Genomic DNA, 24,372 nt, shown 5'->3' with positions numbered 1-24,372 from the left:
GAGTTCAAAGCTACAGTGAGCTGTGATTGTGCCACTGCATTCCAGCCTGAGTGACAGAGCTCTTAAAAAAAAAAAAAGTTTATTATTGCCACATTTAAGACCTTCAGCCCTGGAGCGGAGATTCAAGTTGCTTTGAATATACACTCTTAATTAGCAGCAGTTACAAAATGCTGTTTTTATTTTATTTTATTTTATTTATTTTGTTTTTCATTTTGTTTTTCTTTTGTTTTTTTATTTTTGTTTTTTTTTTTTGAGACGGAGTCTCGCTCTGTAGCTCAGGCTGGAGTGCAGTGGCAGGATCTCGACTGACTGCAACCTCCGCCTCCCAGGTTCAAGCGATTCTCCTGCCTCAGGCTCCTGAGTAGCTGGGAAAGGCACGTGCCACCATGCCTGGCTAATTTTTATATTTTTAGTAGAGACGGCATTTCACCATGTTGGTCAGGCTGGTCTCGAGCTCCTGACCTCGTGATCCACCGCCTCGGCCTCCCAAAGTGTTGGGATTACAGGCGTGAGCCGTCGTGCCCAGCCTATTTTATTTTTTGAGACAACGTCTCATTCTGTTGCCCAGGCTGGAGTGCAGTGGTGAGATCATGGCTCACTGCAGCCTTGAACCTCCTCAGGCTCAGGTGATCCTCCCACCTCAGCCTCCCGAATAGCTGGGACTACAGGCATGTGCCACCTTGCCCAGCTAATTTTTTGTATTTTTTGTAGATACAGGGTTTCACCATGTTCTCAGGGTTGGTCTCAAACCCCTGGGCTCAGGCGACCTGCCTGCTTCAGCCTCCCAAAGTGCTGGGATTACAGGTGTGAACCCCTGCACCTGGCCAGAGATGCTGTTTTTAAGAGAAAAGAAGAGGCAGTTCCTAAGTGGTTTACCAAGAATTGCTCTTTTTTAAAAAATTGAGATGGGTCTCACTGAGGCTGGTCTTCAACTCTTGGCCTCAAACAATCCTATCACTTCAGCTTCCCTGGCCACAAGAATTTATATTAAAACGACATAAGCTATTGGTTGTCTATACATTATTCTTTGTATCATAAATTCCAGAAACAGGAAGATAATGGGTTAAGCTAGTCAGGAACAAAATGCCTTTAAACAATTGCCCCCGGGCATGGATAAGAAATATGTTACTGAAGTCCCATATTCATTTCTTTTTCTTTTCATTATTATAATTATTATTTTTTTGTTTTGTTTTGTTTTGTTTTGAGACAGAGTCTTGCTCTGTCATCCAGGCTGGAGTGCAGTGGCATGATCTCGGCTCACTGCAACCTCCACCTCTCGGGCTCCAGCGATTCTCCTGCCTCAGCCTCCCAAGTAGCTGGGATTACAGGCATGCACCACCATACCTGGCTAATTTTTGTATTTTTAGAAAAGATAGGGTTTTACCATGTTGGCCAGGCTAGTCTCGAACTCCTGACCTCAAGTGATTCACCCACTTCAGCCTCCCAAAGAGCTGGGATTACAGGAATGAGCCTCTGCACCCAGCATATTATTGTTATTATTATTTTGAGACAGGGTCTCGCTGTGTACCCAGGCTGGAATGCACTGGTATGGTCATAGCTCACTGCAGCCTCAACCTCCTGACTCAGGACCACAGGTGTGTGCCACCATGCCCAGCTTTTTTTTTTTTTAAGTTTTTGAGGAGACAAGGATCTCCTGATGTTGCCCAGGCTGGTCTCAAAACTCCTGGACTAAAGTGATCCTCCCACCTTGGGCTCACCTTGGCCTCCTGAGTCTACAGGCGTGAGCCATCATGCCCTGCCTGAAGTCCCATATTCATGTCTCCGGACCTGATAAATTCTGCGTGCCTCACATAGCTCAAAGTTCTCTGAGCTATTTTTATTTTTCTCACTTTTTTAGTGAGAAGGGGTGAGTTTCTGGCTCCTTAGTGAGAAGGAGAGGAGACATATCCCTGCTCAGGAAAGTGCCGAGTTGGGACTCAATACTCCTTTTGAAAGACTTTGGAACAATTATTTGATTCTTCCTTTTTTTCTTTTTTAGACAGGATTTCACTATGTTGCTCAAGCTGGGCTCAAATTCCCAGGCTCAAATGATCCTCCTGCCTCAGCGTCCCTTGTAGGCTGGGCCTACAGGCAAGCATGCATCACCATGCCCAGTTTGATCCTTCCATTCTTTTTTTTTTTTTTTCGAGACAGGTTCCCACTCTCTCAACCAGACTGGAGTGCAGTGGTGCAATCATGGCTCACTGCAGCTTCAAACTCCCAGGTTTGAGTGATCCTCCCACCTCAGCATCCCAGGTAGCTGGAACGACAGGCACATGCCACCATGCCCAGCTAATTTTTAAATGTTTTTTGTAGAAACGGGGGTCTCACGATGCTGCCCAGGCTGGTCTGGAACTCCTGGCTTCAAGTGATCCTCCCATCTTGGCCTCCCAAATTTCTGGGATTATAAGCATGTGCCAGTGCGCTGAGCCTGATTCTTCCTTTTTTTTTTTTTTTTTTTTTTTGAGACCGAGTCTTGCTCTGTCACCCAGACTGGAGTGCAGTGAAGTGAGCTTGGCTCACTGCAACCTCCACCTTCTGTGTTCAAGTAACTCTCTTGCCTCAGCCTCCCGAGTGGCTGGGATTATAGCCGCCCACCACCACACCCGGCTAATTTTTGTATTTTTGGTAGAGACGGGGTTTCACCATGTTAGCCAGGATGGTCTCGATCTCCTGACCTCGTGATCCGCCCGCCTCGGCCTCCCAAAGTGCTGGGATTATGGGCGTGAGCCACCGCGCCTGGCCATATTTATACTTTTTTAATACCACTAGGCTCAACCCGTATGATATTTTTTGCAGCAGCTTTCTTGAGATGTATTTCACATACCGCATAAATCACCCATTTAAAATGTACAATCGAGCGGTTTTTAGCGTATTCATAGAGTCGCACATCACCACAATCAATTTTAGAACACTTTTATCACCCCCCAAAGAAATCCACATCCTTTAGCCGTCAACCTCCAATACTTCCATTTCTCTGCACCTAGGCAATGTATAATCTACTTTCTGTCTGTATAGATTTGCATACTCCGGATGTTTCACATAAATGCGGTCATGCGACACGTGATCTTGTGGCTGGCTTCTTTCACTTAGCGCCATGTTTTCTAGTTTCACCCGTTTTCAGCATGTGTCCGTCCTTTTCCTTCTTTTCGAAACAGTTTTATTGAGATGCCGTTCACATACCATACGGTTCATTCATGTAAAGCATCTGTAATTCAATTGCCTTTAGAATATGCACAGTTACGTAGCCATCACCACAATACATTTTAGAACATTGGTATCACCTCAAATTCCTTTTTATTGCCAAATAATATTCCACTGTATGGATATACCACATTGCATTTATCCACTGGTGGGCATTTTCACTCTTAGAATATTATAAATAATGTTGCTATGGATATTCATGCACGAGTTCTTGTGGGGACATATGTCTTCATTTCTTTCAAGTATATACCTAGGAATGGAAATAATGGGTTATACGGTAATTCTATGATTAAGCTTTTGAGGAACTGTCAGACAAGCCATGTGATTGACTGATTGATTTTTAAAGACAGGGTCTTATTGTATTGCCCCAGCTGGTCTCCAACTCCTGAGCTCAAGCAATCCTCCTACCTCAGCCTCTGAATGGCTGGGGCTACAGGCACGTGCCACTGCACCCAGCTGCCATGTGATTTTTTTCTTCCCAATTTTCTCACTGAACATTAATCATGTGTATTTTCATGAATGGTTAAGTGTTCTTTGAGCATGTGGCTTTTAACATTTAACATATCCAAATTTTAATTGGCCAATCCCGTTATTGGGGACACTTCCAATTTTCATTATGATAAACAGCATTTCCATGGGCATCTTTTTTTTTTTTGAGACAGAGTTTTGCTCTTGTTGCCCAGGCTAGAGTGCAATGGTGAGAACTGCAGCCTCCACCTCCAGGATTCAAGCAATTCTCCTGCCTCAGCCTCCTGAGTAGCGGGGATTACAGGTGTGCGCCATCATGCCTGGCTAATTTTGTATTTTTAGTACAGCTGGGGTTTCACCATGTTTGTCAAGCTGGTCTCAAACTCCTGACCTCAAGGGATCCACCCACCTAGGCCTCCAAAAGGGCTGGGATTACAAGTGTGAGCCACCGCGTCCGGCCCCATGAGCATCTTTAGGCATCAATCTTTTATACATCTCTGGTTATTTCTCTAGAGCACATTAGTCAAATGATTGTATCAAAGGGCACAGGCAGTTTTGAGGCTCTCAGTGCATGATGATAAACTGCCTTCCAAAAAGGCTGTGCCCGTTTGCATTCTCAAAAGTAGAGTGTGCACCCCTCCTTACATTTTAATAGTTTCCTGAGGTCACCAGAACATGAACATGGGGAGGGCAGGGACTTGCTTGGGCATCTTGGATACCATGCCCAGTTCAATGTGCAGTACTTAGTAGGGGTTTGTGTGACAGGAATGAGTGAGAGCACATGAAGGCCCAGATGAGTGCAGGGTCCGTGGGGCACAGAGGAGGGTACAGGTGTGTGAGCACCGTGTGGACTTAGCACACGGCTGACGTGAGGACTCAGTGCAGACACAAGTGGTAACAAGGCCTCGTGAGTCAAAGAGCTCCTCACCCTGGAGGTCAAAGCAGCTGATTGGAGATGAGGAAGCCACACTCCAAGGTCACTTAGGGACAGACGCTGGCAGGGCTGATCTGAAGACTGGCAGCAACTCCTTTTTATACTCCACTCTGCAAGCGCCAGTCTTTATGCAGAGTTCTGGAAGAATTCCCCTCACTGAGCTAGCAAGGCCATCAAACTCTGCGTTCACCTGGATATCCTAAGGAGACACCCATTACAAGGATGAACTTTGTTACTATCTGAGAACTTCACCATTTTTCACTCACACACGCAAGGTCTCAGAGAAGCTCCTTCGGGCAGCTTCTCCCCTGTGGATGACAGTCTCATACCCGCAAACTAGTAAGATCCAGGAGAGAAGGGGACAATGGGGGATGTTTAGAGGCCTGCTGTATTTATTTATTTAGAAATGGGATCGTACTGTGTCACCAGGCTGGAGTGCAGTGGCTCAATCATAGCTCACTTCATCCCTGAGCTCCTGGACTCAAGCTATCTATCCTCTTGCTTAAGCCTCCAGAATAGCAGGGACTACAGGTGCCCACCACCATGCCCGGCTATGCTGTATTTCCAGATCTGGGGGCTGGTTACATAGACACCTATGCTGTTTGTGAAAATTCTCCAAGCTCTATGCTTAATCTTTGTGCATTTTTCAGCATAGATGTTGTTCCTCAATTAAAAACAAAAAACCAAGGGGTTGTGAAGAACAGAACTGGCACTGATGGAGTCCTTCTCTGTGCAAGGCCTTTCCCTTAGGTCTGTCATCTCAGCTTATGTTCATGATGGCCTTGCGGGGTAGACGTTAGCCCCATTTCACAAAAACACAAGTCTGAGCCTAGGGAAAGATTTTCCTTGAACTATAAGTCTTCAAAACTATTTCCCTCAAAGCTCAGAATAAAATCTGGGCTAGTCAGATTATACTAGTGATAACAGATAACAACAGTTAAGGAATAGAAGATAGAATATTCAATTCAGGCTAATTGTTTTTCTTTGTTTTTTTGTTTTTTGGGTTTTTTTGAGGTAGAGTCTCGCTCTGTCACCCAGGCTGGAATGCATTGGCATGGTCTCGGCTCACTGAAACCTCCGCTTTCTGGTTCAAGCGATTCTCCTGCCTCAGCCTCCCGAGTAGCTGAGGTTACAGGTGAGCACCACCACATCCAGCTAATTTTTCTTCTATCTTTTACAACACAGAGTTTCACTCTTGTTGCTCAGGCTGGAGTGCAATGGCACGATCTCGGCTCACTGCAACCTCTGCCTCTGGGTTCTCCTGGAGGTGATTCTCCTGCCTCAGCCTCCTGAGTAGCTGGGATTACAAGTGCATACCACTATGCCCGGCTAATTTTTGTATTTTTAGTAGAGACAGGGTTTCACCATGTTGGCCAGACTGATCTCGAACTCCTGACCTCAGGTGATCTGCCTGCCTCGGCCTCCCAAAGTTCTGGGATTACAGGCATGAGCTACCAACTCCGGCCAAATTTTTGTATTATTAGTAAAGACAGGTTTTGCCATGTTGGCCAGGGTGGTCTCGAACTCCTGACCTCAGGTGATCCACCTGCCTTGGCCTCCCGAGGTCCTGGGGTTATAGGCGTGAACCATCATGCCCATCCCAGGCTTGTTATTGATTGATCGTTTATGATTCTTTGACTCAGAATCTTGTCCAGGATCTCACATTGATAGACACAGGATTTGGTCCCAACCCTGAACTGATTCCAAAGCCCATGGCATTCCCACAAGACTAGGGGCTTCTGATAATGACCATACATTGTGACAAGTAAGTGTATATTCAGGCAGGATAATGCCATATGACATTCTATTTCTTTTAGAATGACAGATCCAGTGCTGACAGGAATTCTCAGAGCAGCAGGCACATGGTTAAGGCAAGAACAGGCCATTAGAAGGAAATGGTAAGGACGTTTGACATCGGTTGTCCCAAACCTGAAGAATTGAAACTACACAGACACATTTCTGGAAAGGCTTTGACTCAAGTCTGGGTTGAAAAAAATCAGGGTTAGAATCAGCACTGATTTGTAACTCAATTTTTTTTGTTTCCTTCCCTTTTTTTTTGAGACAGAATCTGGCCCTGTTCCCCAGGTTGGAGTGCAGTGGCACAATCATAGCTCACTGAAGCCACAAACTCCTGGGATCAGGTGATCCTCCTGCTTCAGTCTTCTGAGTACCCGAAACTACGGGTATGTGCCACATGCCTGGCTAATTTTTTAAAAAGCTTTTTGTAGAGATGGGGACCTTTCTGTGTTGCCCAGGATGGTCTTGAACTCTAGGCTTCAAGGGATCCTCCCACCTCAGCCTCCCAACATGCTAAGATTATAGGTGTGAGCCATCTCACCTGGCACTTTTTCTACATTAAAAAAATCAAAATTCGCCAGGCGCAATGGATCATGCCTGTAATCCCAGCACTTGGAAGGCCGAGGTGGGTGGATCACCTGAGGTCAGGAGTTCGAGACCAGCCTGGCCAACCTGGTGAAACCCCATCTCTACTAAAAAAAATACCAAAAAAAAAAAAAAAATCAGCCGGGCGTGGTGGCACACATCTGTAATCCTGGCTACTCAGGAGGCTGAGGTAGAAGAATTGCCTGAATCTGGGAGCCGGAAGTTGCAGAGAGCCAATATAGCACCACTGCACTCCAGCCTGGGCGACAGAGTGAGACTCTGTCTCAAAAAAAAAAAAAAAATCAAAATTGACCCAAGACATGAGAGACCATGGCACAGGATCACTTGAGGTCAGAAGTTTGCAACCAGCCTGGGCAACATAGCAAGCCCCCATCTCTAAAAACTTTAGCCAGGTATGGTGACCTGTACCTGTACTTCCAGCTGCTTGGGGAGCTTAGACAGGAGAACCACTTGAGCCAAGGAATTTGAGACTGCAGTGAGCTACGATCACACCACTGCACTGCAACTGGGTGACAGAGTGAGACCCTGACTCAAAAAAAAAGTGGCAAAATTGAATGAAAAGGGATCCTAATCTCTCTCACAGCCACTCAAGTGAAGCTTCCAGCACCACAGTCCACCTGCAGACAGTCAGGGGAGGGGCAGAGGGCAGCCTTGCAGGTGCTGCGCCTGCAGATCGAAACCTCAGTGGATAGGGAGCATCATGCCCAGACCTCCACTTATCCTCTCTCAGCCAATGAAGAACCCAGGCAGGTGCCCCAGGTGAGATCCCGTGGAACCAGCAGTCTGGAGCGGGCAGAGCTGAGTGGCCCCATGCCTGCATTCAAGTCCCGTTGCAACTCTGCTTCTGCCACGCTGTGTAACTGGGCAGGGCTCTTGATTTCTGTAACCCTCACTTTCTTCTTCTAAAATTATGATACCTCACAGGGCTGCTGGGAGGATCAGAAACGAGGTTTATAAAATGCTCTTACTGAGAAATCCAGCAGTTCCAGGGCAGAGGCTGGATTGTCCTGGACAGACTTGAGGAGACCAAAGCAGCCTTCACTTCGCATGGGATTCCTGGACACCTGAGAAACACGCACACAAAGCTGCGAGAAGCCAGGTCCGGGAAGGCCAGAGAGCAATGTGAAAGGGAAGGAGGGGCTCCTCATCTCTGAGGACACAGCCACTATGGCCACACTGTTTCGGCTCAGAAGGTGTCTCCATCAGATAGTCAGACAGAATGCTCTGGTGAGGCTGCTGGGTCAGGGAAGAAAGGAAGGGAGAGGCCTCCGATTGATATAGACACACAAGACACACCCTTGCCTTTAAGAACTTGCCTGCTGGGGAGAGGGGAGGGAAAGGAAGCATCATGAAATGTGGTGTGATCAGCGCAGTGAGTGAGTGTGCACCAGCTCCCCTGGGAGGGAAAGGCTGGGAGGGGAGGTGTATCTGGGCAGGGCTCAGCGGAGCTTCCCAGGTGAGGTGGCCGGAGCTGGACACTTCAGCAAGAACAGCAGAGGAACAAAGGCAGGGGTGAAAAATAGTACCGTGTGTGTGTGTGTGTGTGTGTGTGTGTGTGTGTGTGTGTGTGTGCTCCAAGCTTGGGGTGAGAGCACTGAACTTGGAAGAGAGGGGCTGGCAGAGCCCAGATCCCCCATGACATGCTATGTTACTTTTTTTTTTTTTTTGAGACAGAGTCTTGCTCTGTCATCCAGACTGGAGTGCAGTGGTGAGATCTCAGCTCACTGCAACCTTCACCTCCTGGGTTCAAAGGATCCTCCTGCCTCAGCCTCCAGAGTAGCTGGGATTATAGGTGTGCATCACCACATCTGGCTCATCTTTTTGTTTTCAGTAGAGACAGGGTTTCACCATGTTGGTCAGTCTGGGCTCAAACTCCTGACCTCAAGCGATCTGCCTGCCTCAGCCTCCCGAAGTGCTGGGATTATTGGCGTGAGCCACCACACCTAGCTCCGCATGACATGATGCACTCAAAGCTTGGGTTTATCCAGAGGGGATAAAACTCCAACAGTTTTAAAGCAGGGCATGTTTCTGGTCCTGGGTAGCAGCTGGGAAGAAAGAACCGCAGCCAGGAATCCCGCAAGTTCACAGAAGCTAAGAGAGGAAGTCAGAAGAGGGAGGAGTCAGCAGGGTGAGCCCCTGCAGAAGGTGGGAGGGAGGGTGTGGAAAAGGGAGGGGCAGGCAGGCTCTGGGCCCCAGCTGGTGACTTGGGAAGAAGGAAGAAGGAGCCCCCCACCAGGAGGTGGCCCTTAGAGGGGGGTATGCGTTCAGGTTGGACTCTCACATTCCCACGTGTCTTTGGGACATTTAGAGGACTGTCTACGAGGTGACTCGAAACGCAGGTCTATGCTTCAGAGAGGTCCAGGTTCCTGTGAGGCAGGAAGCAGGGGAGGAGAGCTATGGGAGAAGCCCAGTAAGGCTAGGGTGGGGAGCTGAGGGCCGACAGAGCTGGATGTCCATACCCAGCTGGCAATACTGTCCCCCAGCACGTACCTGCTGTGGGCACAGTGGTCCCCTGGGGACCTGCTCCCGGCTTGCCTCCCTCCTGTGTCTGTCTTCTGCTCCCTGTCCTGCTCAGCACTCCCTCCCCACCTGCAAACCCAGGGGAAGGAACCCCAGCTGGGAACACCAGGCCTCAGGTGGGCCTGAGCAGTGGCCAACAGAACACCTGGGTGGGGCCTGGGTCTCAGCAAGGCCAGAGGAAAGGCAGGGGAGAAGATGAGGGAGACACAAGGGGTGCCCAGCCACCTTCAGCAGAGCAGCACCCCAGCCCACAGAGGAGGAAGGGCAGCAAGAAGATGTGGGAGAGAGGCTGGGAGGGATGAAGGGGAGAAGAGGAGGGCCAGGCCCCAGATTCAGGGTGAGTGGCAAGGGAGTGAGCCAGCCTGTGTGCACCTGCCTGCTGCCCCTGGGTGGGGGCTGTGGGGGAGGGATCTGTGTGGACTGTTACAGGGCAGGTCTGTGCTGGTGTCTCAGTCATCAGGCTAGCACTCACTACAAGAATCCTCAGCGTCTGGTTGACCCGGAGGCCCAGGCCCAGGCTCAGGGCTCCCATCGCAGAGATGCGGTTGTTACTGCAACAAAAACAACAGGCACATGCATTGTGCAACCTTCCAAGCAGCGGTGCAGAGCCCACTGCCCCAGGGTGCCCACTGGAGCTGCCATTGCAGCCACCAGGTTGGGTCTCTTGTTCCCTCCACTCACACCCCAGGAACCCTGGACAGATCAACAGGTAAAAGGTGGAGATGACACCGTTCAGAGGAATCACACGGCAAACACACCTAAAGCGTCCCTGTCCTGGTGGACACCAGCTGCCGCTCCTCTGAGCTCTGCAAGTGCTCCCACATATTCTGCCCCAGCTGACACCTCATGCCTATCACCATTACAACGCCTGTTCCAGAAAATCACCTAGCTTATGTTCAAGGCCTCTCCTCCTCCTGCCGTTCCCAAACTCCAGTCCTCAGCACCGCCCTGGACCACTTTGTCTCCGGAGTCAGTCCCGCTTCTCTCTGACTTCTCAGACCCCAGCTCTGGCTGCACCTCCGTATTCAGCCTCCGCGGCTGCCTCCAGTCTTAGCTCCTCCCATGGGGAGGAAAGCTGGGCAGGATTGAGTGGGGCCTTCTTGCCCACAGGGAGCTGCCCCTGGGGAGGGTCTCAGCCACAGCAGCCCATGACCTCCCTGGCCTCTGGCCCGTGACCTCCCTGGCATCCGCCTCTTTTCTTCCCTCTGGGCTTGTGCCTCCTGGCTAGGCTGGGACGCTGCCTGGCCTGGAGGAGCCCCTCACACAGGGCATGCTCCAGTAGCCACATGCTGAGCAAAACAGGCACTGGGGCCCACTTGTCAGGGTCCTGCCTTGCCCCACCCAGACTAGGCTCGTTTTACTCGCTCTGTTGCAATGCAGCCTGAAATCCTGAATCCTCGGCTCAAGCAATCTTCCTGCCTCAGCCTCCCAAGTACCAGGAATGATAGGTGTATGCCACCGGAAATGGACAATTTTTAGATTTCGCATAGAGATGGAGTCATGCTATATTGCCTAGCCTGGTCTCAAAATCCTGTCCTTAATGGATCCTCCCGCCTCAGCCTTCCTAGGTGCTAAGATTACAGTTGTGAGCCACAGAACCTGGCCCTGGCTCGTCTTCTGCAAGGGAGGAAAGCTTGCATGGAGCACCCACCATGCACCAGGCTCTGCCGGAGATGCTTTATACACCGTGTGCAATTCGCAGCCATCCGCCTGTGCTATAGGAATCACAGGTCTCTATGTAACAACGATGAACTCCCCATGACTGTAATTCCAGCACTTTGGGAGGCTGAGGCAGGAAGACTGCTTCAGCCCAAGAGTTCAAGGCCAGCAGGAGACTGTCTCTACAAAAAAGAAAAAATTAGCCAGGCTTGGTGACATACTCCTGTAGTCCCAGCTACTTGGGAGGCTGAGGTGGTGGGATTGCTTGAGCTGGGAAGGCCAAGGCTGCAGTGGGCCATGATCACAGCACTGCACTCTACCCTGGGCAATAAAGCAAGATGCTGTTTTAAATAAATAAATAAAATTATAAACTCCAGTGATAAGGATGACAGAGCTGCTCTGGGATTGTGGCTCAAGCCCCATCACGGGAATCCCCATCACGGGTAGACTGTGTGCTTCAGCAGCAAGATCATGGAGCCCATGATTCCTGGGGTGTCCCCCCGGGGATCCTCACCTCATGTTGAGTTCCTCCAACACGTTGTTGGCCTTCAGAGCCTCACCCACCGCAGAGGCTCCAGGATCCCCAAAGCCATTGTATGAGATGTCTAGAACTTTAAGGAAGATGTTTGCCTAGAATACCAAAGAGTGAAGTCATGGGACCCCATCTGACAGTGGAGCAAGCCAGGGTGCCACAGCCTCAGAGACCAGGAGCCCTGAGGTGCAAAGATAAGAGATAAAGGGCAGAAGGGGAGAGGCTCCAAGGAAGGGTCAGGAAAGTGCCATGCAGACCCCCTGGTGGCTGCAGCTTGGATGATGGTGGTCAACAGAGCCCAGTGGCCCAGAGCACAACAGGAAAGGACCGGTGTAGACGTGAATGGCCCTCAGAGAGACTGGGAGGGGCGTGTGCAGAGCAGCAGCAGGCCCCAGAAACATTGATCGGACTCCACACCCACTTAATGGCTCTAGAGGGCAGGGATCCCAAGATCCAGTGAACAGCTGTTGGATGAAACCTGTCCAGCGTACTGTGATGGGGAGAAGGGTAGGTGCTCTGGCAAGACAGAGTGTGACATGCCATCTTGTGGGGCAGGACCCCAAGGTCAGCCCCTGCATCAGGGCAAGACAGCAGCTGCCATGGCCTGAGGAGGGCCCCACAGGGTATCTGGCACTGGGGACATTGCAGACACCTTGTACCACCCTAGCACCAGCTTGAGCCACCCATTCCCGAGCCCTATGAACCACAACATGGAAGGGAACAGGTGGGTGTTTGAGAGGCTGTGCTGGCATCCAAGGGTGCAAGGTGTCATCTCAGGAAACCACCTGCGTATGCCCAACAGTGAGCATGTGTCACCAGACTGCACAGATGTCCCTTCCCAGCTGGGTGTCTATGGTGTCTGGGGAAGGTGCAAGATATTCAACAGTGACCCTTCAGGAAAGTATGTGACGGTGAGCACAGTGTATTGTGGTCACTAAGTGAAGCCAGGAAAATTAAAATCACCTAAAGAAACAGTCTTTAAGCTGTGCTTAAAAGATCCAAGGTTCATTTCCGAGGAGCTGCAGAGACAGGGAGGTGGCCCCTGGGAGACAGGCCCCAGCAGACAGGCTGTAGGGCCGACTAGGTGGGGGCTTCATACCTCCAGTCCCCTGGCAAATGCCACAGCTCCTGGGCCCCGGAGGTGATTCCAGCTCACGTTAAGCTCGGTGAGTCCTGTGTTTTCTGCCAGGGCTGGTCCAAGTGTCTCCCCTTCAGAAACACCAAGAGAGACCTTCTGACTCACTCTCTTCACTCCTTCAAAAGATCACACTGATGCCCACTGCGTGCCGAGCCTCTGCTGGGCAGGAGGGTCACAGACATGAAACTAATGTGGGCCTGCGGTGCCCTTAAGGAACTCACATTTCATGGGGGAGATACAAATGCAAATGTATGGGATGTGAGCTATTCATTTAGACTAAAAGGGGGAGGCGTGAGAACAGAGTGGTGGCCAGCCTGTCTTGGGGGAAGTCAGGAAAGAGGACAGAGGAGATAACTCAGGACTGAGGAATTCCCCAGGGGTGTGTGCATGCACAGTGGGGAGGAGACACAGGAAACTGCAAATGGCAGGGGCACCTGTGGAAATGCACACAGGCTTATGCACAGTGGGGAGGAGACACAGGAAACTGCAAATGGCAGAGGCACCTGTGGAAATGCACGCAGGCTTGGAGCTGGGCCTGGGGAGGGGGAAGCCAGTGAGGTGAGGAAGGAGTAATGGGCACTTGAGAGATGCTGAGGGGCCTTGTGTGCCAAGCCAAGGGGCTTAGGCAGCACATACAAGTGGCAAGGAGTCAGGGAGGGCCTTAGGAAGTGATGAGGCTGGATTAGCATTTCAGCAAGTGGCAGGTGTCCAGGATAGACTGGGCTGGGTGGGGGCAGAGGCAAGAGGCTGGGGGACCAGATGGAAGGCTGGTGCCATAGGCTAGGCAAGAGGCAACAGGGCTGGCACAGCTGTGGTAGAGAGGAGATGGGGGTGGTAGAGAAAGGAAGGTGAAAGCCAGGCAGTGGTGTGAGCCTGTGGTCCCAGCGACTCAGGAGGCTGAGGCAGAAGGATTTCTTGGCGCCAGGAGTTCAAGACCAGCCTGGGCAAAATAGCGAGACCTAGAGATGAAGGCGGAGCAACATGGCCGAACAGAACCCTCCAGCGGTCATCCTACAACCCTCACAGGAACACCAAAGCGAACATTTATACACACAAGAAAGCGCCTGCAGAAGAGCCAGAAACCAGCTGCACATCACAGTACCTGCTTTTAACATCATAACAGGGAAACAGGCACTAAAGAGGAAAGAAAGTATTTTTTGTTGTTGTTAAGACACGGTCTCACCCTGTTGCCCAACCCGGAGTGCAGTGGGACAATCACGGCTCACTGCAGCCTTGACATCTTGGGCTCAAGCAATTCTCCCACCTCAGCCTCCTGACTGAGACTACAGGCACATGTCACCACTTGGGGCTAATTTTTTTTTTTTTTTTTTTTTTTTTTGAGACGGAGTCTCGCTCTGTTGCCCGGGGCTAATTTTTTTAATCATTTGTTGTCACCACTGGGGCTCCCTATGTTGCCCAGTTTGGTTTCTAACTCCTGGCCTCAAGCAATCTTCGCCCCTCAGCCTCCCGAAGTGGTGTTGGCATTACAGATAGGCACAGTGCCTTGCCAAGTCTCACTTTTTTTTTTTTTTTTTTTTTTTTGAGACAGAGTCTCGCTCTTTCGCCCAGGCCGGACTGCAGTGGTGCTATCTCGGCTCACTGCAAGCTCCGCCTCCTGGGTTCATGCCATTCTCCTGCCTCAGCCTCCCATGTAGCTGGGACTACAGGCGCCTGCCACCACACTCGGCTAATTTTTTGTATTTTTAGTAGAGACGGCATTTCACCGTGTTATCCAGGATGGTCTCGATCTCCTGACCTCATGATCCACCTGCCTTGGCCTCCCAAAGTGCTGGGATTACAGGCGTGAGCCACCGGGCCCGGCCACCTCACTTAATTTCACTGACTTCTTGCAATAATTTTCTTAGAAGGCAAACTGGTTCTCTGGCAGTTATATGCCAGAGGCAATTCTCACAGGCCAAGGCTGATGTCACCCCACTTGCTCTAAGCAGCTGGAGACAGAGGAGTGCTTCTGAAAAACAATTCTCGGCCAGGCGCGGTGGCCCACACCTGTAATCGCAGCACTTTGGGAGGCCAAGGCGGGCGGATCACAAGGTCAGGAGTTCGAGACCAGCCTGACCAACACGGTGAAACCCCATCTCTACTAAAAATAGAAAAATTAGCCAGGCCTTGTCGCACGCACCTGTAATCCCAGCTACTCAGGAGGCTGAGGCAGGAGAATTGCTTGGACCTGGGAGGCAGAGGCTGCAGTGAGCAGAGATCACACCATTGCACTCCAGCCTGGGTGACAGAGCGAGACTCTGTCTCAAAAAATAAAAAATAAAAAGACGATTCTCCTGGGGCAACCATTAAAATACAGATTCACCAGCATTCCCCTAAGAGTTTGGTTCAGCAGGTCCAGGGTCAGCATCTGCATGCCTAACCCAGGGTCTCAGGTGATCCTTACCATTATTGGACCATTTGAGGAGAGGCAGGTAGAAGTGCAAATTCCTGGCAAAGCAGACAGCTCCTGAATATGCTCAGGGGCATGACAGTGATGAGATCAAGGAATCCCAATCACATCCGCTACCTCACTTGAAACAAAATCTTCACCGTTTTTGCCACGGCCTACAGCCCTGCAGCCCCCTCTGCCCTCTCCACCCCACAGCCTGGCCACGCTTCCCTGGCTCCCTAGCCTAGGCACACTGCTGTCCGCCAGTCTGGGAAACAGGCCCGCATGCTCACTATTCCTCTGCTTGCAATGCTCTCCCTCTGATCTTGCCATGGCTGACTCCTTCCCACCCTGCACATTTCAGCTTAAATGTCACCTCACAGAGGCCTCCCCAGCCACCTCTTTAAAGTAGGGGGTCCCTGTTCTTCTCTAGAATCATAAACTATTTGTTTCTTTTGTAGCACCAATAATTACTCAGAATGATGTTGTTAACATTGTCCCTTGAGGTCAGGAACTTGGTTTTGTTCAAGGTGGATCCCTGGTGGCTAAGTCAGTGCCCAGCACATACAGCAGCGCGCAATGAGATATTTGTGGAAGGAATGAAGAGTTCCGTGTGGCTGGAGTGGAAGAGGAGTGGGGCAAGGTGGGGTGTGGGGAGCAGGAACCAGAGCACATGCTCCCTGGCGATGTGCAGCGCGGTCCTGCCAACCCCCACCCATCCCTGCCCCAGGAAGCTGAGCTTTCATGGCCATGGTGCCCTGCGCAGGCGTTACCTGCTTGGTCATTCAGCTGGTTGTAGCTCAGGTCCAGGGACTTCAGGTCTGTGTGGGCCAGCAGGAGTTCGGCAAGGTGCTGGGCCGCCTGCTCCTCCAGGCCATTCCCTGACAGCTGCATCTTCCGCATGGCCTGGTTCACTGTGAGGGCGGCACAGAGGGCCTGGGCTCCTGCCACTCCCAGCTGGTTCTCCGACAGGTCCACATCTGGGGGACAGAACCACTCCTCGGCCAGTGGGATGCAAAGCCAGGCACTCCCCTACTTCTGCCATCCCCCAAACCTCCAGGTCTGAGGCTGAGGAAGGGGACTTACAGGTTAACTGTCCTGGGGTTGCATGGTGGCTCTGGCTCCCAATGGCTGGGTCCCCTCTGCCCCTGACCTCCCCCTCCCTGTGTGCCCACCAGCTTCTGTGTCAAGTGGTTAAAACCGCCTACCTCCTGGTACTGTAGAGACTGCTGTGGTGGGGGGCAGCTATACCGTCGATGGCTGCATCTGGCAGTGATATCACCACCCACTTCAGAAGCCCTCACAGCCCCGTTGCCAGGATTGGCAATAATAGCCCAAGTGGCCATGCATGGAGCACGTACATGGGTCACACACTCTTCTGACCACTTCAGGAGTGCATTTCACTTCATGCTCACCACAGCCCCAAGCCCATAAGGTATTTTGGGGGCCATTTCACAGATCAGAAACTGAAGCTCAGAGAGGTTAAGCTGCTTGCCCAGGTATCCAGCTCTTCAGTGGCAGAACTGGCATTTGGATCCAGCCCCATCAAACTCCCACATTGCCTACCTGCTTCTTACAATGCCCAACTCCCACCTCTCTGTGTGGAAGGACTCTCCCATCCTGCATTCAGGTACTGGGAGTCTCCCATGTGCTAGGTGAAGAGGGGGATGCTGGCCAGCAAGGGAGGGGAGTGATGGTGTGGGGTGGGTGAGGAAAGGACTTCTATCAGGCATCGGCTGCACAGCAGAGGGTCTAACTCCACCCCACATGCCCCCTCCTGTGATGAGGCCCCTCTTCTATCCACCAGCAACACCAGCAGGCCCCAGGTGACACGGCCCAGCTTTCAACGATGGAGGCACATCCCTGAGGAAAAGGAGGACACGCCTGCCCACCTGCCCCAGACCCAGCACCTACCATGGATGCTGCTGCTTTTGCTCAGGGCACCTGCCAGGGCCTCTGCACCTGCCCCACAGAGCCCATTGTCTCGAAGGTCCAGCCGCTTGACATATGGATTGGAGCTCAATGAGGAAGCCAGAGCCCGGGCGCCCTGGGACAGACAGAGCAAACACACTGGCCACTATCCTGGCTCATGCTCCAGGGCTCAGCCCACTCCACATCCTCCAGCTGGAAAGCCCTCCCCTTCCCACCTGTTTTAAGTGACACCTGCTTCTCCTTTTAGGCTCTGTGAAGGTCTCCCCCCACCCCCAGCTCTCCCTGACCCCCCAGCGGGTTAGGAGCCTGCAGGATCCACAACCCTTAACGCCACCTGTCACAGCCTCAATCCCATCTGTCTCCCAGATGTGGAGGGTAGGGCATGACTGACACAGGCAGAAGCTGGGGAGTGTAGGGGACAGACACAGGGGCACTCCCATGGCTGCTGTCTCCCGAGGCCTCTCCCCGTAAGCCTGGATACAGTGTCCCTCCAGTGGTACCTGGGGCCCCAGGCCACGGTGCCGGAGGTTCAGCTCTTGGGCGCTCCCTTGGCGCAGAAAGCAGGAGATGGGCACAACACTATGGGCCCGGCAAGACCTCAGGTACAGTGTGTCCCTGACCAGTTCTCCAAGCCCATCGGTGCCTGGCAGGAGACAGGGGGACGAATGTGGACCCTGCACAGCTACAGCCACCTGTGTCCTCCCCTGCCCTGTGTCACTACCTGGCCTATGTTTTGCCTCTAGAAGCACTGCTTCCTGTGCTTCTTGGGACCACTGCTCCCATATGACAGATGAGGACATCAAGCCTCAGGCAACGCAAATCTTTTCCTTAAAGTCATACGGCTATCAAAAGAAAGCTGGACAACCTGGGCAACATAGCTAGACAAATTTTCTTTTTTTTTTTTTCGAGACAGACTCTTGCTCTGTCACCCAGGCTGGAATGCAGTGGCACGATCTCGGCTCACTGAAACCTCTGCCTCCCAGGTTCAAGCAATTCTCCTGCCTCAGCCTCCCGAGTAGCTGGGATTACAGGCGCCCACCACCACACTGGGCTAGTTTTTTGTATTTTCAGTAGAGACGGGGTTTCACCATGTTGGCCAGGCTGGTCTCGAACTCCTGACCTCAGGTGATCTGCCTGCCTGGGCCTCCCAAAGTGCTGTGATTACAGGCGTGAGCCACCCCACCCAGCCAAAAAATTTTTATATTAGCCAGACGTGGTGGTCTCCTGTAGTCCCAGCTACTCAGGAGGCTGAGGCAGAAGGCTCACTAGAGTGCAGAGTTCAAGGCTGCAGTGAGCTATTATCCTGCCACTGCACTGACGCCCGGGTGACAGAGCAAGACCCTGGCTCTAATAAATAAATAATTTATTTATATATTTATTTATTAATAAATATGAGCCCAAGCAACCCAATGTTGTTTGTAGTAGAAGTCATGGCTGGCCTGCGCTGAGCATCCCACAGCTAGTGGTGGTAGCTAATCCTGCCAGAGTCAGGCCTCTGCCTGTCTGATGCCAAATTGCATGCTGTGTCTTTTAACCTGGATTGCAGGCCACAAATGTTTTGTAAACATTTTACGGGAGAAAAAACCGAGATAGTTCTAAATTCCATACATCCATTAGCTTAGTTTTTCCTGTGGATTGGGAAAACCCGGCTCTGATTTCATTTCAGGGTGGGACAGCCCTTGGTGCACTGTCTGGCGGGATTTTGCATTTTATCCTGATGCTTCCAGGAGCAATGAAGGGAAGGCAGGGGGCTGGAGGCGCCCCGCAGGCGGGTACGTTCCCTGCTGGCCTTAGCCCCAGCCCGCCTCCCCCAACCCCTGCGGGAGAAGACCCCCAAAGGGGAGGAGTCGGGCCTGCCCCCTCCCCCGAGCACCTTCCGTCTCCAGGTCGGAGTCCCAATTGGCCTCGGGACCCTGCTCGGCCTCGGGGACCCCTGAAAGACGCCCACAGGCCACCATAGCCTCTTCTTTCTGCTCTTCATCCTCCCCAGACCTCTCACAGGAACCCCTCATGGTTACGACCCTCTCGCAGTCTCAGACACTGAGTCGGAGACAGCTTGACCCCGCGCCCAGAGCGCGGCCCGGGATTGTGGGCGGAGTCTGCGGCTGCGCTGACCAACCGAATGTGCCGTCCAGCAACAGGCACCCCCCACAGCCAATAGCGACGCGCTCTCCCGCGGCGGTCGCCCCGGCAACCCGGTGTTGTCGGTTGCCGTAGAAACTGTGGCCGGCTTGTGCTGAGGCTCCTCGCCCGGGCTGATACACTGCATGCGCCACAGACCATGCACCGGATTGGGCGCCTTGCTGCGTTTATCCCCCTGCCTCCCCTAGGCGGTTCCAGCATCGCCCCCCTTTCATGGAATGGGAAACATGCCTGACTCCAGAGCTTGTGTTTTCTTCACTGCACTTGGGAATGGCTTTTCAGGAGGGCCTGGGGAACTTCGCAGAGCCAGGTCACCCTCTCACTCTGTGGCTCTCAGTTCTCTTGCATGCGCTGGCCTTTGCATACGCTGTTCGCTCCCCTGGGAACCTCCATCCCCATCTTTGTCTGCTTGTTGAACTTCAGAATCTGCAAGCGTCAGCTCAGAAGTCACTTATTCCTGAAGCTTTACTCAGAGCCCCCCCGGGGCTGTTGCTGCCCTCAGGCCGTCTTCTCACAGCACTGATAACAGCTGTCCTTCCCCATCCTCTCACCACGTCCACTCCCACCGGAGGAAGTGAGGCCAGAGGGCAGGGACAGAGCTGCTGTTTTCTGTGTGCCACCAGGGCCCAGCAAAGAGAATGTAGGGAGGGTGGGAGGTGCAGGGCAGCTGGGGTTAGGGGCTGAAGGCTGGGTGTTGGAGGCTGGATCCTGCTTTAGTGGAAGTGTCCCTTTAACAGCGGCTGGCGTGGCCTGGCTCGGGCCCTGCTTTGCCTCCTGTTCAGCTGCGGCTGCAGCTGCCATGCTGACTCATGTGCCCGCAGCTAGCAGGAGCTGGCAGCATGGGCTCCCCAGGGGCCACAGCAGACTAGGGGCTTCTGGATTATAAAACGGAGAAGTATGTGATGACCAGGAACTGGTGGGGGGGCGCCCTGCAGAGGCTGCTGCAGTTTGGGATCGTCGTCTATGTGGTAGGGTAAGAGAGAAGAGCTTTTGGCCAGGCTGGAGGGGCAAGGGAAGAGGTCGGGGGTGGGGCTTGGTCCTGCTGGGTTGAAGTTGAGGGTTGGGCTGTTTAGGGGCTGGAGGGGAAGGGGCCATAATGGGACGGGGTGGGAGGTAGGCAATACAAGACAGGAGAGCAAGAACAAGCTGTGTGTTTGTCCTGTGTGTCCACCTGCCTGCTTCCCAGTCCCTCCCCACGGCCCCACCCAGGGGGCACAAGACATTGTCCTTAACATCTGTGAGAGCTGGAGCACTAGGCCCCCAGAGAGACCACCAGCTATATCTCCGGTCAGGGGAGTCTATAAGCTCGGAGCTGGGTCTACTGAGGCTGGGGGTGGGTGCTGGCTAGTGAAGGTGATTGTCTGAGGGCACTGGCTCTCTGATGCATGGCTGGAGCTTCTGTCTCGTTCAGGGAGTCTACAGTGGGAAGTGGGGCCAGAGAGGATGCTGGACTGGGAGCCTGTAGGGTGTGGGGAGAGAACTGAGCATGTAGGGCCCAGCTCTGCCCCGTCACTACACGCTGGGGGGACACCACACTGCCCATCTTCTCCTTCCCAGGTGGGCGCTCCTCGCCAAAAAAGGCTACCAGGAGCGGGACCTGGAACCCCAGATTTCCATCACAACCAAACTCAAAGGGGTTTCCGTGACTCAGATCAAGGAGCTTGGAAACCGGCTGTGGGATGTGGCCGACTTCGTGAAGCCACCTCAGGTGGGGGCCCTGATGTTGCTGACGGGGGCGCAAGTCCTTTCCCCACTGACAGCTTGAACACCCGCCATGCAGCCAGTGTGTGCGAGAGAGAAGCATGTGATGCCAAAGGTGGCTGCAGGTTCTCAGGAAGGGCTTCACAGAGGAGTGGCACCTGAACAGGACTTTCAGGGATGTGTAGGAGGTTTCTGGTAGAAAAAGGGATGGGTTGAGAAACCAGGCCAGAGAAACTGCATTTCCGAAGGCTGCCAACAGAAAAGAAGGGAGTGTTTGAGACTAATGGCTTGAGCTTGAGAGTGGTGTGGGAGGGGTGTGGTGGGGCCAGGGCGTGGAACTTCCTGTAGCCCTGCTCCCTGACCTGGGGCACCTCGGTCAGGTGCTCCTCCTCCACCCTTCTCAGCTGCATTTTCCTCTTCCCTCCACCCAGCTTATCCACAGCCTTAACTTCCACCCACCTCTGCTCCTCTGATTCCCAGGGTGTATGTAGCCCCAGTGAACACCTGCCCAGAGCACAGCTGTCTTCCAGGTGCACACTCATATGTCCAAAGATCAATTATTTCCCTCTCCTGGCATGGCCTCTGTGACATCCACTAGTCATGATGGCTGTGACATCCACTAGTGCCTCAGCCAGACCCATGACTCAGCCTCAACCCCTTCCTGTCCCTTCCAACATTTTTCACTACTGCCCATGCCATGCCTGCATGAGACTATGGCCTCCTAGAAGGCCCTTAGATGCCCCTCTCGCCTCCTCCCTACTGCTTGGTGCACACCACACAGCAGCCAAGCTGAACTTTCACACCAGGCATCATGAGAGCCTGCAGCCCCTGTTTCTACCCTCAGGAGGCCCCCCGCCAATGATAGTGGCCACCCATCCCTCCTAATCCCAATGGCTGCCACTCTCAGCACCCTCTGCACAGCCCTCACCTTCCGTTCCTGGGCATGCATTCCCCAAATTCAGTGTTCTCATGGGCAGCACTGGAGGGTCAGCCTCCCCTTCCAACATCCTTGGCCACCCTTTGACCACAGGCAGAGCTTTCTGTCTTCTCACCTGTGCCCTGCCATGCCAGTGCTGCTGTGTGTGGGATGGGAGACTCACCTCCTCTCCATCCTGGCAGGTGCAGGGCCCAGCTCTCCCCTGGATCTTCAGTACTAGAAGCAGCAGGCTGTCGTAATATTCTGGTTGACGCCAGGCATGGTAGTTACAGCCTATAGTCCCAGCTACTTGGGAGGCTGAGGCAGGAAGATCTCTTGAGCCCAGGAGTTACAGGATGCAGTAAGGGTTGATGACACCACTGCACTCCAGCCTGGACGAGTAAAGTGAAACTCTGTGCGCCTGTAATCCCAGCTACTCAGGAGGCTGAGGCAGGAGAATCCTTTGAACCCAGGAGGCAGAGGTTGCAGTGAACCGAGTTCATGCCACTGCACTCCAGTCTGGGTGACAGTGAGACTCTGTCTCAAAAAAAAAAATAAAGAAGAAAGAAAATAAAAGATATTTTGGTTGAACAAATGAGAAAGAAACTTGTCTCAAGAGATGGACATGGGCATGAGGCTTCATGGTCTCAGAAATGGCCAGAACTGCTGCCAGCCTCCCATCTCTGCTTCAATCTGCCTTACGTGGGGACAGGGTTAATGATTTCATGGGGCCAACATCCCTTCCCTCATAAACCAGGCTGCCGGCTTCTGGCCTTTCCAGTCAATGCAAGCCCAGCCAGGCCAACTTTGAGACTTGCCTCCTAGGGAGAGAACGTGTTCTTCTTGGTGACCAACTTCCTTGTGACGCCAGCCCAAGATCAGGGCAGATGCCCAGAGGTGAGTTTGCCCAGGATACTCCCAGCGGGCCCCTCATTCCTCCATCAGCCCCAGGTGGCCACCCGTGTTTCCCTTTATCCTTCCCAGGTGGCTGAAGGCTCAGCATGTGCTTAGTGTCCCCCAGGCACTGGGCTACATCTTTGTGTGAATCATTTCGTTCAGTCTTCACATATCCCCTGCCTGGCAGGAATTCCTGTGATCCCCATTTCAGAGGCAAAGAGTGAGGCTCAGTGAGGTTGAATCACTTACTTAAGGCCTCCCAGGCTGTGGGTGACAGAAACCCGAGCTCTGGCTAGCAATGAGTCAGTCAAAAATAAAAATTAAAACAGTAAAAAATTATTTATAGCTGGGCACAGTGGCTCCCACCTGTAATCCCAGCACTTTGGGAGGCCAGGACAGGAGGTTGCTTGAGGCCCAGAATTTGAGACCAGCCTGGGCAACATAGCAAGACTCCACTCTACAAGAAAATTTTTCTAAAAATTTGCCAGGCATTGCCCCAGCTACTCAGGATACTGGGGCAAGAGGAGTTCAAGGCTGCAGTGAGCTACAGTCCCACTACTATACTTTAGCCTGGGCAATGGAGCAACACCCAGTCTCAAAAAATAATAATAATAACTTATTTACAAATTTTTTCCCACTTGCATTTATATAAGTTTAGTTTATTTAACAATTATATCTGAATTGTGAAAACTTCATGAAACATTAGACAAAGCTAGTTATTATCTTAAGTTTTATTTTGCTGGCAATTTTTATGACATATATATTAGGCAAATATCAAACATTATTGAAGTAAAGCACCTAAAATGTTAAACATTCAACACTTTTTTTAATCTCAGACTAGCATACTGGGGGTTGTTCTAGTTAATTCCTCAGATTCTTTTATTTTATTTTATTTTATTTTTTTGAGATGGAGCCTGGCTCTGTTGTACAGGCCGGAGTGCAATGGCATGATCTCAGCTCACTGCAACCTCCGCCTCCCGAGTGGTTCCAGTAATTCTCTCCTGCCTCAGCCTCCCAAGTAGCTGGGATTACAGGTGCATGCCACCACACCTGGCTAACTTTTTTAATATATATTTTTCATAGAGACAGGGTTTCATCATGTTGGCCAGGCTGGTTTCGAACTCCTGACCTCAAGCGATCCGCCCACCTTGACCTCCCAAAGTGCTAGGATTACAGGCATGAGCCACTGCACCCAGCCAATTCCTCAGATACTTAAGTTTTTTTTTGTTTTTGTTTTTGTTTTTTTTTTGAGATGGTGTCTTGTCCTGTCACCCAGGCTGGAGTGCAGTGGTGCAATCTCGGCTCACTGCAAGCTCCGCCTCCCGGGTTCACGCCATTCTGCTGTCTCAGCCTCCCCAGCAGATGGATAATTTTTATATATATATATTTTTAGTAGAGACAGGGTTTCACCATGTTGGCCAAGCTGGTTTCAAACTCCTGACCTCAAGCGATCTGCGCACCTTGACCTCCCAAAGTGCTAGGATTACAGGCGTGAGCTACTGTGCCCAGCCCAGTTCCTCAGATACTTAAGTTTGTG

The 24,372-nt window shown here is 52.1% G+C and overlaps 1 protein-coding gene and 1 pseudogene across 19 annotated transcripts, besides 4 other annotated features; one reads left to right on the top strand and one right to left on the bottom strand.

The window, feature by feature from the left end:
* Positions 1-1,009: 1,009 nt before the first annotated feature.
* LRRC74B (leucine rich repeat containing 74B) lies at positions 1,010-19,232 on the bottom strand. Of its 18 annotated transcripts, NR_027006.2 has the most exons (11): positions 19,053-19,232; positions 17,680-17,822; positions 16,021-17,294; positions 15,722-15,864; positions 12,820-12,929; positions 11,703-11,818; positions 11,181-11,370; positions 10,002-10,080; positions 7,978-8,245; positions 4,601-4,805; positions 1,010-3,454 (listed from the first exon to the last, which is right to left on the bottom strand). NR_027006.2 is itself a non-coding variant. In NM_001291006.2 (10 exons), exons 1-9 carry the CDS (start codon positions 19,189-19,191, stop codon positions 4,650-4,652), a joined length of 1,179 nt encoding a protein of 392 aa, NP_001277935.1. In that variant the 5' UTR covers positions 19,192-19,232; the 3' UTR covers positions 1,010-3,454; positions 4,601-4,649. The 18 variants fall into 18 exon arrangements, 7 of the variants coding, with proteins under 7 accessions (NP_001277935.1, XP_011528477.1, XP_011528479.1 ...); NM_001291006.2 differs by lacking the exons at positions 11,181-11,370; positions 15,722-15,864 and having other exon boundaries at positions 7,978-8,073; positions 16,021-16,227; positions 17,162-17,294; NR_110991.2 differs by lacking the exons at positions 11,181-11,370; positions 15,722-15,864 and having other exon boundaries at positions 7,978-8,242.
* Positions 9,053-9,585: an enhancer, noted in NCBI's record as "H3K27ac-H3K4me1 hESC enhancer chr22:21409882-21410414 (GRCh37/hg19 assembly coordinates)". NCBI's record gives its function as "activates a minimal SCP1, AML or CMV promoter by ChIP-STARR-seq in primed H9 embryonic stem cells {active_cell/tissue: H9 hESC(primed)}" and the evidence as "EXISTENCE:reporter gene assay evidence [ECO:0000049][PMID:30033119]".
* Positions 11,791-12,302: an enhancer, noted in NCBI's record as "H3K4me1 hESC enhancer chr22:21407165-21407676 (GRCh37/hg19 assembly coordinates)". NCBI's record gives its function as "activates a minimal SCP1, AML or CMV promoter by ChIP-STARR-seq in naive H9 embryonic stem cells {active_cell/tissue: H9 hESC(naive)}" and the evidence as "EXISTENCE:reporter gene assay evidence [ECO:0000049][PMID:30033119]".
* Positions 12,303-12,816: an enhancer, noted in NCBI's record as "H3K4me1 hESC enhancer chr22:21406651-21407164 (GRCh37/hg19 assembly coordinates)". NCBI's record gives its function as "activates a minimal SCP1, AML or CMV promoter by ChIP-STARR-seq in naive H9 embryonic stem cells {active_cell/tissue: H9 hESC(naive)}" and the evidence as "EXISTENCE:reporter gene assay evidence [ECO:0000049][PMID:30033119]".
* A 1,696-nt stretch (positions 19,233-20,928) lies between the features above and the next one.
* On the top strand, positions 20,929-22,786 carry P2RX6P (purinergic receptor P2X 6 pseudogene; annotated as a pseudogene). The gene is made up of 2 exons (NR_002829.1): positions 20,929-21,029; positions 22,764-22,786. The product of NR_002829.1 is annotated as a purinergic receptor P2X 6 pseudogene (transcript).
* Positions 23,673-23,901: a silencer, noted in NCBI's record as "fragment chr22:21395566-21395794 (GRCh37/hg19 assembly coordinates)". NCBI's record gives its function as "represses an EF-1alpha promoter that drives an FKBP-Casp9 reporter gene in an ReSE screen in K562 erythroleukemia cells {active_cell/tissue: K562}" and the evidence as "EXISTENCE:reporter gene assay evidence [ECO:0000049][PMID:32094911]".

Source organism: Homo sapiens, chromosome 22 (assembly GCF_000001405.40).
Source record: "Homo sapiens chromosome 22, GRCh38.p14 Primary Assembly".
Classification (NCBI taxonomy): domain Eukaryota; kingdom Metazoa; phylum Chordata; class Mammalia; order Primates; family Hominidae; genus Homo; species Homo sapiens.
The sequence above is the reverse complement of the archived record's forward strand: the minus strand, read 5'-3'. Positions and strand labels throughout refer to the sequence as shown.

Excerpts from the sequence above, each read along its gene's own strand:
- LRRC74B (NM_001291006.2), bottom strand. The coding sequence starts at position 19,191 with ATGAGGGGTTCCTGTGAGAGGTCTGGGGAGGATGAAGAGCAGAAAGAA. Across the intron at positions 11,819-12,819 it reads CATTTGCCAGGGGACTGGAG|GCAAACATCTTCCTTAAAGT; the intron begins GTATGAAGCCCC and ends TTGGTATTCTAG. Across the intron at positions 4,806-7,977 it reads TGGAACTGCTGGATTTCTCA|GATATCCAGGTGAACGCAGA; the intron begins GTAAGAGCATTT and ends GTGTCTCCTTAG.